The following is a 13,842-nucleotide window of genomic DNA, read 5'->3' as shown; positions in this document are numbered from 1 at the left end:
AAAATGATACTTTTCTCTTACAATAGTAGAATAAGCTCAAGTCAAAGAACAGCATTTATTCATTTTTTAATAAGAATCCAAAGCTCACAAGAACAGAAATGCTTAAGGATATTAACAAAGATGGTGTTTTAGGATAAAATCCCTGAAGATAGTTCCACTGTGTGAAAAGGAGTCACAATTATTATATTCCCTTCATATTTATCTTTAAAATGCCTCCAGATATTGTTATCTTAAAAATAAAAGTAACTAGGAACTAGAAAATGTGTTTTTAAATATCATAATATATTGAAAGACTACAGGCACACAGCAAGATTTAGGAAAATTTCGTTTCTTACTTTCCGTTAGTTTGAACAATCTTGAGAAAATAAATTGTAAGTTTAGATATTGCAAATGTTTTTCCTTAAAGAATCTGATTTAAAAAGATAAGAATGACTATTCTAATTTTACTTCACCACAAAGTAAACAAAGATTAGAACAAAATATTCATAACTACATGTTTGTGTGTATTTATGTGTTCTAAGGCTTTATATAAGGAATCTCACAAACCATACCATTATATTAAATAATCATCAACTTGTAAGTTAAATATGTGTGCAATGGTTATATAATTATATAGGTGAATATCTATATTCCTTGATAAATACAATGAAAATAGTGTTATTTCTGAGATTTCATATATATAGTTGTCAACAAATATATATTATATATAATATCCCTTTATGAAAACAATTATATATATATATATTTACCTACCACTTATATTCAACAAGTAATAATTTTATAGACTGATGTTTTAAAGAGAAAATATACTTTATGTGAGACTTTAAAAAAAAAAGAAGTTTTTTCCTGTGTAAGTCAATTTATAAGTTGCAGTGAGGCTTATTAACAGGAAGTTATTTAGAATTATATGTAACAAAGTCTAAATGTCAATACAGTATCTGCATCTCTGTGCCTGAGTATTTTTCCAGCTCAAAGGAATGATGCTCTGTTTTTGTGAGTGTAGCAAGCCTAAAATGCTAGGAATTAACAACCCTTGGGAAGCAACCCCCAACCATGACTGACAAGAATTAGTATGTAAATATCCCACCTCCATTTATCCTCCAGTATAAGAATTCTGAGCCATGTGTTTTAAACTTCTTCCCAGAATCTCCCTACAAAAATAAACTTATTACTTATAGTCATAGCTGGCTTAATAATGAACACTTTATTGCCTTAATTGGCTATTTTTTTGGTCAATTCCCCACTCCACAATTTATGTTTCTTTCACCTACAAAATAAATTGCTTACACTGGGAGTATTGTCCATGGTTCTGAAGTGGTCCCCACAGTGAGGTTTCTTTGCATTTAGAAAGAAGAAGAGTGAAAAGGACTGCATCTTATGGTTTGAGGGCCATCTCAGCTGGAGCACAACAGAAAACCAGATAAACTTCTAGGGCTTTTGATTCTAGCTCCTGGCTTTTTGATGGCACCTATGGAGCTGCCTTGGGTCAGTGAGAGCTTGCTGCCCTGAAAGGAAGGACCCAGGAATGGCTGGCTTCACCACGTGTTGATTGTAGCACCTCAGGGCCTCAAGTGAACATGGGTGGTAGCCAGGGATTGGTTACAGTAGGCCTTGGTTGAGACCCAGTGCTGTGCTGGCTTAAGGTCTGACCCAGCAAAGTCCTAGTAGTGGTGGCCATAGGGGTGCTTGTGTCACTCCACTCGCAACTCCAGGCAGCTCACAAGAGAGTGAAAGACTCTATTTGGGAGAAAGTAAAGGAAGAAAACAAGTGTCTATGTCTAGTAATCCAGAGAATTCCTTCAGATGTTGTTGAAGACCATCAAGTCTGCCAGAAACACAGTGTTACTGGGCTTCAGGTGCCCCTTAATGAACACACTGCTTATATCACATCACATTCCTTTTGAATACCTGGAAACACCTTCCCAAGAAGGACAGGTACAAACAAGCCCAGTTTGTGAAGACTACAATCAATACCTAACTCTTCAATGCCCAGACACTGATGAACACCAACAAGTATCAAGACTATCCAGGAAAACAGGACCTCATCAAATGAACAAAATAAGGCACAAGGACCAATTCTAGAAAAACAGAGATATGTGATCTTTCGGACAGGGAATTCAAAATAGCTGTTCTAGGGAAACTCAAAGAAATTCAAGATAACACAGAGAAGGAATTCAGAATTCTATCAGACAAATTTGAAAAATACTTTTCAAATTTTGAAAAATAATTTTTAAAAAGAATAAAATAATTAAGAAGAATCAGCCAGAAATTCTGGAGGTGAAAAATGCAATTACATCTTAAGAAGGCATCGTAATCCTTTAATAGTAGAACTGAACAAGCAGAAGAATAAATTAGTGAACTTGAAGATAGGTGATTTGAAAATACACAGTAGGAGGAGACAAAAGAAAGAATAACAAAAAGATGAAGCATGTTTACAGGATTTCAAAAATAGCCTCAAAAGGGCAAATCTAAAAATTATTGAGCTTCAAAGGGAGGTATAGAAATAGATACAGGTAGAAAGTTTATCCAAAGGGATAATAACAGAAACTTCCAAAACCTTGAGGAAGACATCAATATCGAAGTGCAAGGAAGTTATAGAACACCAAGCAGATTTCACCCAGAGAAGACTACCTCAAAGTATCTAATAATCAAACTCCCAAAGATCAAGGATAAACAAAGGATCCTAAAAGTAGTAAGACAAAAGAAACAAAGAACATAAAATGGAGCTCCAATACATCTGGTGACAAACTTTTAAATGGAAGCCTTATAAGCCAGGAGAGAGGGGCATGCTATATTTAAAATGCTGAAGGAAAATACCTTTTACCCTGGGATAGTATATCTGGCAAAAATATCTTTCAAACTTGAAGGAGAATTACTTTCCCAGGCACACTAAAGCTGAGGGATTTCATCAAAACTAGACCTCTCCTACAAGAAATGCTAAAGGGAGTACTTCAAGCAGAAAGAAAACGATATTAATGAGCAGTAAGAAATCATCTGAAGTTATAAAACTCACTGATTATATTAAGCACACAGAAAAACAGACAATATTATAACACTGTAACTGTTGTGTGTAAACTACTCTTATCTAATGTAGAAAAACTAAACAATGAATCAGCCAAATATAGTAACAACAAAAACTTTTCAAAATATAGACAATACACTAATATATAAATAGGGAAAACAAAAACTTATAATGCAGGGGAATTAAGTTAGGGTGCAGAATTTTTACTAGTTTTCTTTCTGTTTTTTTATGTGTTTATGCAAACAGTGATAAGATGCTATCAGTGTAAAATAATGGGTTAAAAGATAGTATTTGCAAGCCTCATGGTAACCTCAAATTTTAAAACGTACAATAAGTATACAAAAAATAAAAAGCAAGAAATGAAATCATACCTCCAGAGAAAATAACCTTTATTAAAAAGAAGACAGGAAGGAAGAAAAGAAGGAGAAGGAGACCAAAAAAGAAAAATAAATAAAACAGAAAACGAATAGCAAAATGGCAGGAGTAACACCTTACTTATCAATAATAACATTGAATGTAAACTCTCCAATCAAAAGATATAGAGTGGCTGAATAGACTTAAAAAAAGCAAGATTTAATTATCTGCTGCCAGCAAGAAATATACTTCACCTCTAAAGACACACATAGATGAAAAGTAAAAGGATAAGAAAAGATATTCCATGGCAATGGAAATAAAAAAGGGGAGGAGTAGCTATACAAAATAGATTTCAAGACAAAAACTACAAGAAGAGACAAAACGGTCCCTGTAAAATGATAAAGAGGTCAACTCAGCAAGAGGATATAACACTTGCAAGTAAATGTGCATGAAACACAGGAACACCCAGATATATAAAGTAAATATTATTAGAGCTACAGAGAGAGAAATAATCCAATAAAATAATAGCTGGAAACTTCAATACCCCACTTTCAGCACTGGACAGATACTTCAGACAAAAAAAATCAATAAACATCAGAGTTAATCTGCACTTTGGGCCATATGAGCCTAATAAATATTTACAGAACATTTTCTCAAAAGGATGCAGAATTTACACATTCCCCAGCACACAGATCATTCTCAAAGACAGACCATATATTAGGTCACAAAACAAGTTTTAAAACATTCCAAAAATTGAAATAATATCAAGCATCTTCTCTGAATACAGTGGAATAAAACTAGAAACGAATTACAAGAGGAATTTTGGCAACTATACAAATACATGGAAATTAAACTGTATGCTCATGAATGACCAGCGCATCAATGAAAAAAATTAAGAAGGAAATTGAAACATTTCTTGAAACCAATTATAATGGAAACACAACATACCCAAACCTATGAGATACAGCCAAGTCAGTATTAAAAGGGAAATTTACAGTTGTAAGTGCCTACATCAAGTAAGAGGAAAAACTTCAAATAAACAATCTAATGATGCAGCTGAAAGAGCTAGAAAAGGAAGAGCAAACCAAACTCAAAATCAGTAGAAGGAAAGAAATAATAAAGATCAGAACAGAAATAAATGAAATTGAAATGCAAAAAATACTAAAGTTCAATGAAATAAAAAGTTGGTTTTTTGAAAAGTTAAACAAAATTGACAAACCATTAGCCAGACTAAGAAAAAAAGAGATAAGATCCAAATAAATAAAATCAGAATTGATAAAGGAAACTGCAGAAATTCAAAGGATCATTAGAGACGACTATAAAAAACTATATGCCAATAATCTGAAAAATCTGAAAAAATAGACAAATTCCTAGACTCACAAAATCTGTCAAGATTGTACAAGAAATCCAAAACCTGAACAGATGAATAATAAGTACTGAGGTTTAAACCATAATAAAAAATCTTCAGGTAAAGAAAACCTGGAACCCAATGGCTTCCCTGCTGAATTCTACTGAAGAACTAATACCAAACCTACTCAAAATATTCCAAAAAAAAAAAAAAGTAGAGGGTGATAGAATACCTTCAAACTCATTCTACAAGGCCAGTGTTATCCATTACCCTGATACCAAAACCAGGCAAAGACACATTAAAAAAAAAAAAAAAAACCCACTATAGGCCAATATCATTAACGAATACTGATGCAAAAATTCTCAAGAAAATCCTAAAAAATCGAATTCAATAACACAATAAATAGGTCATTCATCATGACTAAGTGGGATTTGTGCCAGGAATGCAAGGATGGTTCAGCATACACAAAATTCTATGCTCATTTCAGTTGATGCTGAAAAAGCATTTGATAAAATCCAACATCTCTTCATGATAAAAATCCTCAAAAAATTGGATATACAGGAAACATACCTCAACATAATAAAAGCCATACACAACAGATCCAAAGGTAGTATCATACTGAATGAGAAAAAAAAAACTCTAAAAGCCTTTATTCTAATTTTGGGAACACAACAAGGATGCCACTGTTGCCACTGTTATTCAACATAGTACTGGAAGTTCCAGCTAGATAAATCAGACGGATAAAAAAAAAAAGGACATCCAAATTGGAAAAATAGTGTTTTTCCAATGGATTGGAAAAATCTAATCCATCCAAATTGGAAAAATCAATTAAAATGGATTAGATACTTAATTCTAATATCTCACTATGAAACTACTAAAAAAATATATTAGGGAAAATCTCCAGGACACTTGATTGCACAAAGACTTATTGAGCAATATCTCACAAGCACAGGCAACCAAAACAAAAATGGACAAATGTGATCTCATCAAGTTAAAAATCTTCTGCACAGCAAAGAAAACAATCAACAAAGTGAAGTGACAACCCAAAAAAATGGAAGAAAATATTTGCAAAGTACTCATCTGACAAGGAATTATAACTAGACTATATTAGGAGCTCAAACACCTCTATAGGAAAAAATCTAATAATCCAATTAAATATGGGCAAAAGATATGAATAGACATTTCTCAAAAGAAGACATACAAATGGCAAACAAGTATATGAAAGGGTACTCAACATTATTGATCATAGATTAATGCAAATCAAAACTGCGATAAGAAATCATCTCACCCAGTTAAAATGGCTTTTATCCAAAAGACAGGCAATAACACAAATGCTAATGAGAATGTAGAGGAAAGGAAATCCCAGTATACTATTGGTGGAAATGTAAATTAGTGTAAACACTATGGAGAACAGGTTGCAGCTTCTGGAAAAAAAAAAAAAAAACTAAAAATAAAACTACCATATGGCCTAGCAATTCCACACCAAAGTATATACCCCAAAGGTCAGAAATCAGTATATAAAAGAGGTATCTGTACTCCCATGTTTATTGCAGCACTGTTCACAATAGCCAAGATTTGCAAGCAACCTAGTGTCCACCAATACACAAATGGATAAAGAAAATGTGGTATGTATACACAATGAAGTACTATTTGGCTTAAAAAAGAAAGAGATCTTGTCATTTGCAACAGTGTGCATGGAACTGGAGGTCATAACTTTGAATGAAATAAGCCAGGCACAGAAAGACAAGCATCACATGTTCTCACTTACCTGTGGGAGCTAAATATTAAAACAATTGAAGTCATGGTGATAGAGACTAGGATGGTTACCAGAGGCTGAGAAGAGTATTGTGGAGAGGATGGAGGGGAAATAGGGATGGTTGAAGGATACGAAAAAAATAGAAGAATAAATTAGACCTAGTATTTGCTTGCATAACAGGATGATTATAGTAAAGAATTTAATTGCACATTTTAAAATAAGCAAAAATATATAACTGGATTATTTGTAACACAAAATAATGCTTGAGGTGATGGATACCGTACATAACCTGATATGTTTATTACATATTTTATGTCTGTATCAAAATATCTAATGTACCCATAAACATATACAACTACTATATACTCACAAAACATAAATAATTAAAAAAAACAATAGGCAAGGGAAGGAGTTACTCTACTGGCTAGATAAATGATATAGATCATTATGATGACATAAGGTTGTTATCACATAGGGAAGTAGGGAAGAAAAGATTTGGAAATGAAGATATTCACAAGGGAAGTGAGTAGTTCTTTTTTTTTTTCAGCAGATAATCATAAATAGAAAATTTCAGCCAAGTAACCAGGGACTCAAATGACGGTCTGGGTTCCCAGTAATGTGCTGGGAACATTTTTTTTATAAAAAATACAAATCAGAGCTTGAATTATTGTTGTGTGGATTGTCTGGAGCAGAGGTCGGCAATCTATAGCCTACAGGCCAAATTTGGCTCATGGCCCTTTTCTTCTTAAGACTACAAGCTAAAAATGACATTTACATTTTGCAGGGCTATTTAACACAAACAAACAAACAAAATAAATAAATGGAAGAATAAGCAACAGAACCATAGGTGACTCACAAAGTGAAAAGGGTAAATGGAAACTCCGTGTTTCTTTACAGAAAATGTTTGCTGATCCTGGGTCTAGATGATCAAAAGTGATGGACAAATATTAAGAGTGCAGCTTAGATGTCAACATGTATCAGTCTATAACTGTTACATGATAATTAGTACAAATAAGGGAGGAAATATATTTCCAATATTCAAAAACTGCTATCTGGTTTAGCAAAATAGTTGTTCATGTCACAGGCAAATGGCTGTTTTTGCATTTTTACTTTTGTCTTATTTGTTAACATGCCATAAAGAAACATAACAACTAACATTCAGGTTGAAAATATAATTGGGGATCCAGCAGTCAACAAGTTATCAGCACATCACTAGTGGTACCCTTCTGGCAAGCAGTTTAGACCAGGAAATATGCTGTTAGAAGGCAAAGGGACTCTAAAATATGTGGTAGAAGTGGATATAATGAATATCATGTTTGATCTCAGGACTCATTGCCTTATTGGGGACTTAACGGCTTGGTCATTAATCCTCCTGTTACAAGTATCCTTCTCAGAAATTGTGACTGATCATGACCTCGAAGCAGTAACAGGATGGAAGGAATTTAAGATAGAGCACAAAGAGATTTGAATGATGAAATGTGTAGACTATACCACAGGCTGATAGTGCCACACTCAAACCCTTCATAAATTGCAACGTACTTCAGCGGATTTCCAATTGTCAATATCTTCTTTGTGCCTAAGAATGTTTGTCCACCATTAATGAGAATCAGCACATGACAGGTCTTACATTTCTGGAGATGAATACTGCTAGGATCATTCCACAACCAATGACTGAAAGGAATTAATATATAAAAGCTCAGCACCCCCATCCATCCAGTGAGACAATTCTGAGACATGTAATTTACAGCATTTTCTAGAATTTCCCTCTGGGTTTAAGCTCCAGTTACCCACAGTGGATGTTGACTAAATAAGACATCCTTCAATGACTGCTTCCTTTCGTTGTTTTAAATCCCCAGTCCCTGGGCATTGTTTCTTGCACCTACCTCTTTTCTCAGAATCTCTTTTCCCAGTAACCTAAACTGAAACAGCTTTTAGCAACTCAGAAACTCTCCTAAGTACTAATGAGATCGTCAGTATTTTTCAAAGTGCTGTAAGCCATAGAGGGGGAAAAAAAGTGTTCTGGTCCTTCACTGGTGTTTCTCTGATTTAAAAAGCAAAGTGAAATGAAGTGAATACATTTTCTGTTAAATTATATATTATGAATTGCTATAATTTTTTTATTTAATTATTTGACAGAGCATTAGAGAAATCTCTGGTGAATAGAAGAAAATGAAAAACACTCCAGCTAAAACTGGGTGAAATCCTCTGGTTAATACATCTATCTATATCTATCTACCATTCTAAGCTGTAAAGTAATAAATAAGCTTTTTCCTAACTATTTTGTTGTAAGTATTAAATATATAACTAAAGTAACAGGAAATAGGAGGATAAATGTTTCCAAATGGCAGAGAAGCATAAAAAATTCTCTAGAATATTATTTCCTAAAAGGTGTTCCATGGAAACACTAGTCTTTCTATAGGTCTTTAAAAATAGTAAATTTAAATAGTGTATTTAGAGATCACAAGAAATGCTGTCTTTTCCCTCCACCTTATTCACCCCATACCCTTCCCTTGTGTATTCACAATGGAAACGTAACAATTCTATTTTAATAAGCTTCTTTTTTCTTAAATGTTGTTTTGTTTAGTATTCTTCTGACTTATTTTATAAATGATTTGTAAATGAGTATATATGTTATGTGCAAAAACACATAAGACATAAACTGTGGAAAGCACTGTTCTTGGTACTCAAATATTAGGATTCAAGAAAATCTCACTAATGAGATGTCTTACCTCAAATGCCATTCTTCTGTATATTTTATTTATTTACCTAATTTATCAAGGATGATAAATTATATAGTAAGTCCACACACTTGCCTATAATAAACATAAGATCCTATATTGATTATTTATTAGTGTCTAATACATTTAAGATATTTATTAAGATATTAAATACAAAAATATAACTAATACATTTTGAATACATTGAATAATCAATCAACAGGTATTATCTAAGCCACCTCAAAAACTTATTTATATGAAGCAACATAAAAGACAAGTTTATTTAATAAAATAGATGTTATAAGAGAAAGATGTGTAGAAGGTGGCTTATTTTCTTACCATAAATAATTTGAAATTTTAGAACAAAGCAAGATTTAAGTAGAATTCTTACAGTAAAAATGTTGCCACACATAATTAAACGCCAAACATCATTCTCTAAAATAAAAGTGTAATACAATTTCATAACAAACAATATAAGCATAAACTTGATAATTCCTCTGAATTATTGTTAATAATAACTATATTACTTTAATTATGTCATATTAATAGTAGTTTATTTTTTGATGCCTGTGCCATTCTTTATTTATTCATATTGGCCTGCCCCATAGCACAATTCAAACTGCAATTTGCCTGGATATAAAGCAAACTTTCTTCAAAGGCCCAGCAGTCTTCTTGTTAATGTAGCTTGGAATTTCAAGGGCATACCTGACATAACAATGTGTTGGCATAAATATTTCTGACATTTATTCATTGTACTTCCTTTAAAAGCAAGTTAATATTTCAAAAATAAATTAATAGTAACATAATTTCTCAGCTCAATTATAAAATATGCTAATGCGTCAGACATTCTTAATGCATCAGGATTGACTGGGGACTACTGTAGCCTAAGTAAAAAGAATTTTAAAAAGCAGTATTCCATGGTGAATAATTTTACCATATGGTCATTTGGCTTTGATTTAATTCAGCCATAGGTGTTAGGAATTTTATGATGTACCTAGACTAGATCTACTACTTCTAAAAAGGACATTTTACAGAAAAGGAGATATAAATAGTATGAAAACTTCATTTATTATATTTCTTCTCAAATTTTATTCTGCTCTTTTCAAACTCTCCAAGGAAGCATATTTCCTTTGGTATATTAGAAGTGACTTATTCATTTAAGCCCAAATCTGAGAGTACTGACACCATTAATGTGTAGGAATTATATTTTGGATGAACTTTGATAAATCAGGAATTATCAGGGAAATTTCTCACAATTAAACTTTAATTATGCCTAGATACCAGAGAGAGACAGAGAGAGAGTTTCTGAAGTATAAAACTCCTGCACTGATTAACTAAAGCCTACAATCTCTTCAAGTGCATTTTGAAAAAAAAATCCAACAGTGGGTATTTAAAATATGTGTATGTGTATTAAAAACATATGTACATATTTCTAACATGAGTATGTGTGTCTACACTAACACATACCATTTCTTCAGGCATCAGCAGTTTGGTTTTTCAACAAGGTAAGAGTTATGCCCATGATTGAGCATTCACTTGATCTGGTTGCCCATGTTAAATCAATATGTTTATGAATAGGCAGTGTGAAGAAAATCTGAGACTTACTGTGTGTACCCCTGAGAAATGAAAGCAGATGAGGATCTCAGTGATGACAAGTGAAGTTTCATGAGTATGATTTGACAAAATTTAGGCTTAGATTTTTTATGGATTTTATTCATTTTTTGTGTTTAAAAGGTAGCAATGTATGTCCTTACATAGGATATATCACTTCTTTGGGCATTTGTGTCTTTATAAAATGAGAATAACAATTTCTCCCGTATGTTCTTTGTGATTTTGTTTCAAGAGTGATGGTAATTGAAAATACTTCTACAAATATAAAGGTGGGAATTCCTTCTATGTTTGTACCTGACTGTATTTGTCACCAAAATCTGTTAGGACTGCATGTGATTGTATGTAATAATAAACTGAAGCAAAGAAAATAAATAAAAGAGATATAAAATGGGATTACCAATTACAGAAGATGTGAAATGCATTTTTAAACTGACACAAGTGAAAAACAATGGCACAAGTGAAGATTCAGTGTAGGCCTCAATGTTCTGTGGTCGAAAAAAACTAGAGCAAAATGCTGCCTATGGGTTATAACCTGTACAGCCTTCCAAACAGCTTCAAAGAATCACAAGGGATGTGAATATGCTACTGATATATTTGAAAGATAAAACTATCAAAAATCACATTCTAAGAATTACCATGTTATTTATATATTTAATTGAAGCAATATGATGCTTTATCATCCTTTAAACTATCATTGCTAGTGGAATCCATTTAGCCAATCAACAAAGATCAATGGTCATTTTAGGTAAAATTGTTTGTTTGTTCTTTCTAAAAACTATTGCGAAACTACAATTTACAAGCTGCCTTGTCCTGTTAATTCACTTCATGTTATTTCTTCAGGCTTGTGTTCATTTTCACTGCCTTCATTTTCACTGTCAGATAGGTGTTTCTTCTCTAATTGCCACCAATGTCACTCTATTCACAAGGTGACACTTGCAATAGCAGCTTTGTCACCTAAATCAGTGTGAGCATTGTCTCTGTTGACCAGTACATGAGCATCTGCCATCTACTTCTCTGACTGCTTGGTCCCAATTAAGAAGTTTTTGCTCAAATGAAATTTAGTGCACTGCATTCAGGTTTCAATAAGGGGAGGGGTAGGTTAGAATTGCTTGATTAGAAAAAGAAATGTACTTTTGTTACTCTTTTCATATTCCATTCTTATTAATTCCATTTCTTGTCAATACAGCATCTATTTTTTCACTATGTATTGTTTGGATTAAGTTTACTCTTTATTCTGATATTCATGAATCATACATATATAGGAACCAGTTAGTTTTGAAGTGTAGAGAGGGAAGAAACAGACAGTGATATATTAAGCATTATCCCTCAGAGAAACAGGACAGTCACTATTTTTGTGAGAATCCCCTGCAATTCCAAGTGCAATGTTCTTTTTCCCTTTATCATTGCTTGATGTAAATCACATCTTTGTTTCATTCTGATTTTTCTGCATTCTAACTTCATGATCCTCAGCAGGTCATTCAGCCTCTTTAACATTTCTCATCATTAAGCTAGCCATATAGCTTTCAAGAGTTCGCATTATACGATTTATTTTTACTTATTGATTACGTCATTTATTCATTGATTCCTATAATGTTTCTTCCTTATTACAGTGTAAACTCCAAGACCAAATGGACAGATTTGCTTCCTTAACTTTATATTTCTAGTACCTAGAACTATGCCCAGAACATAGTAGATACTTAGTAAATGTTTGAAAGATTGTCTGAAAGATTCTGCATTATCTGTGCCAAGAAAGAGAACAGTCATGCTAAGAAATAGGGAATTTGATAGTCTGCTAAATAGAAATTTTCTAGTTGATATTATAAATTCCTGTTCTAATGATTAAATACTGCTGCTACCAGGAACCAGAATATATGTGACTGATTTGAAAACAGGAGGATCGACTTAAGCCAAACAATAGTCTGACTTGTAAAACACTAAATTAAAATCATCCATCAACTCAGGAGATTAACTTTATATTCTTTTAAAAAATGTTTAACTTACCCGGGTGTAGATGGTACAAATCACCTAATATTTTTAGATCAACTCCAGTTAGGTGTCTCCAATCCCAGTTAAAAACTTTTGGAATTCTAGATTACTAGTTATTTTTTCTTCTTTTGATGCTTTATTGACACTGTTGCTTCACTCTCTTTTGTTTGCATTGTTTACAATGAGAAAATTGATGTCATCTTTATCCTTTTTCCTCTGTATGTAGCATGCATTTTTCCCAGTTTTTTAAGTTTTTCTATTTATTACTGCTTTTGAGCACTGTCATTATGATGTAATTTTCTTCGATTTTCTTGCACTTGAAGTGCACTGAGTACTTGAATATTTAGGTTTATAGTTTTTATCAAATTTGGAAAAAATGGCAATTATTTTATTCAAATATTATTTCTGAATGTCTTATTCTCTTCTCCAGGGATGCCTGTCACACATATATTAGGTATTTAAAACTGCCTCATAGCTCAGGGTTATTATGTTCAAAGATTTTTTTTTTTGTATTTTTGTGTGTTTAATTTTAGATATTTTCCATTGCTTTGGGTTCCAGTTCATTAATATATTATTTTTTTCTGGAATGACTAATCTGCTGTTGATTCCATGCACTGTATTTTTCATCTCAGTGCAGTTTTAATCTCTAGAAGTTATATTTGGTTTTTCTTTTTGAATTTTTCATCTATCTATATAACATGTTCAGTCTTTATTTTTATGATATGGAATAGAGTTACAATAACTCTAATCTTGTGGGTTAATGCAGTGATTAGGTCTCCTGCCAGGGAAGCCAAGATGGTGAGAGAACTGGCTGTCACTTTTACCTCACTTTTTCCAGTGTAGAAACAATAAGTTGGTGGAAAATTGTTGTCCACCTGGTGCCTGGTAGAATGCGGGGAGGAGGGTCGCAGATGTAGAAGTCTGAGTATTTTACTGTCTGCTAATTTTTTTTTTCACTTATCTGTGGCCCCAGAAACTATTTCATCTTCATATTTGAGATCGAGGATATTTCTGTTGATATTGTTGGTACTGTAGGCTTGTTTCTGAT

General features: G+C 32.7%; 1 long non-coding RNA gene across 1 annotated transcript; it reads right to left on the bottom strand.

Annotated features, from left to right (window-relative positions):
• Nucleotides 1-9,448: 9,448 nt before the first annotated feature.
• LINC03121 (long intergenic non-protein coding RNA 3121) lies at nucleotides 9,449-11,725 on the bottom strand. The gene has a single exon (NR_189291.1). It is a non-coding gene; the product is annotated as a long intergenic non-protein coding RNA 3121 (long non-coding RNA).
• Nucleotides 11,726-13,842: the final 2,117 nt, after the last annotated feature.

This window comes from Homo sapiens, chromosome 1, assembly GCF_000001405.40.
Source record: "Homo sapiens chromosome 1, GRCh38.p14 Primary Assembly".
Lineage (NCBI taxonomy): Eukaryota > Metazoa > Chordata > Mammalia > Primates > Hominidae > Homo > Homo sapiens.
The sequence above is the reverse complement of the archived record's forward strand: the minus strand, read 5'-3'. Positions and strand labels throughout refer to the sequence as shown.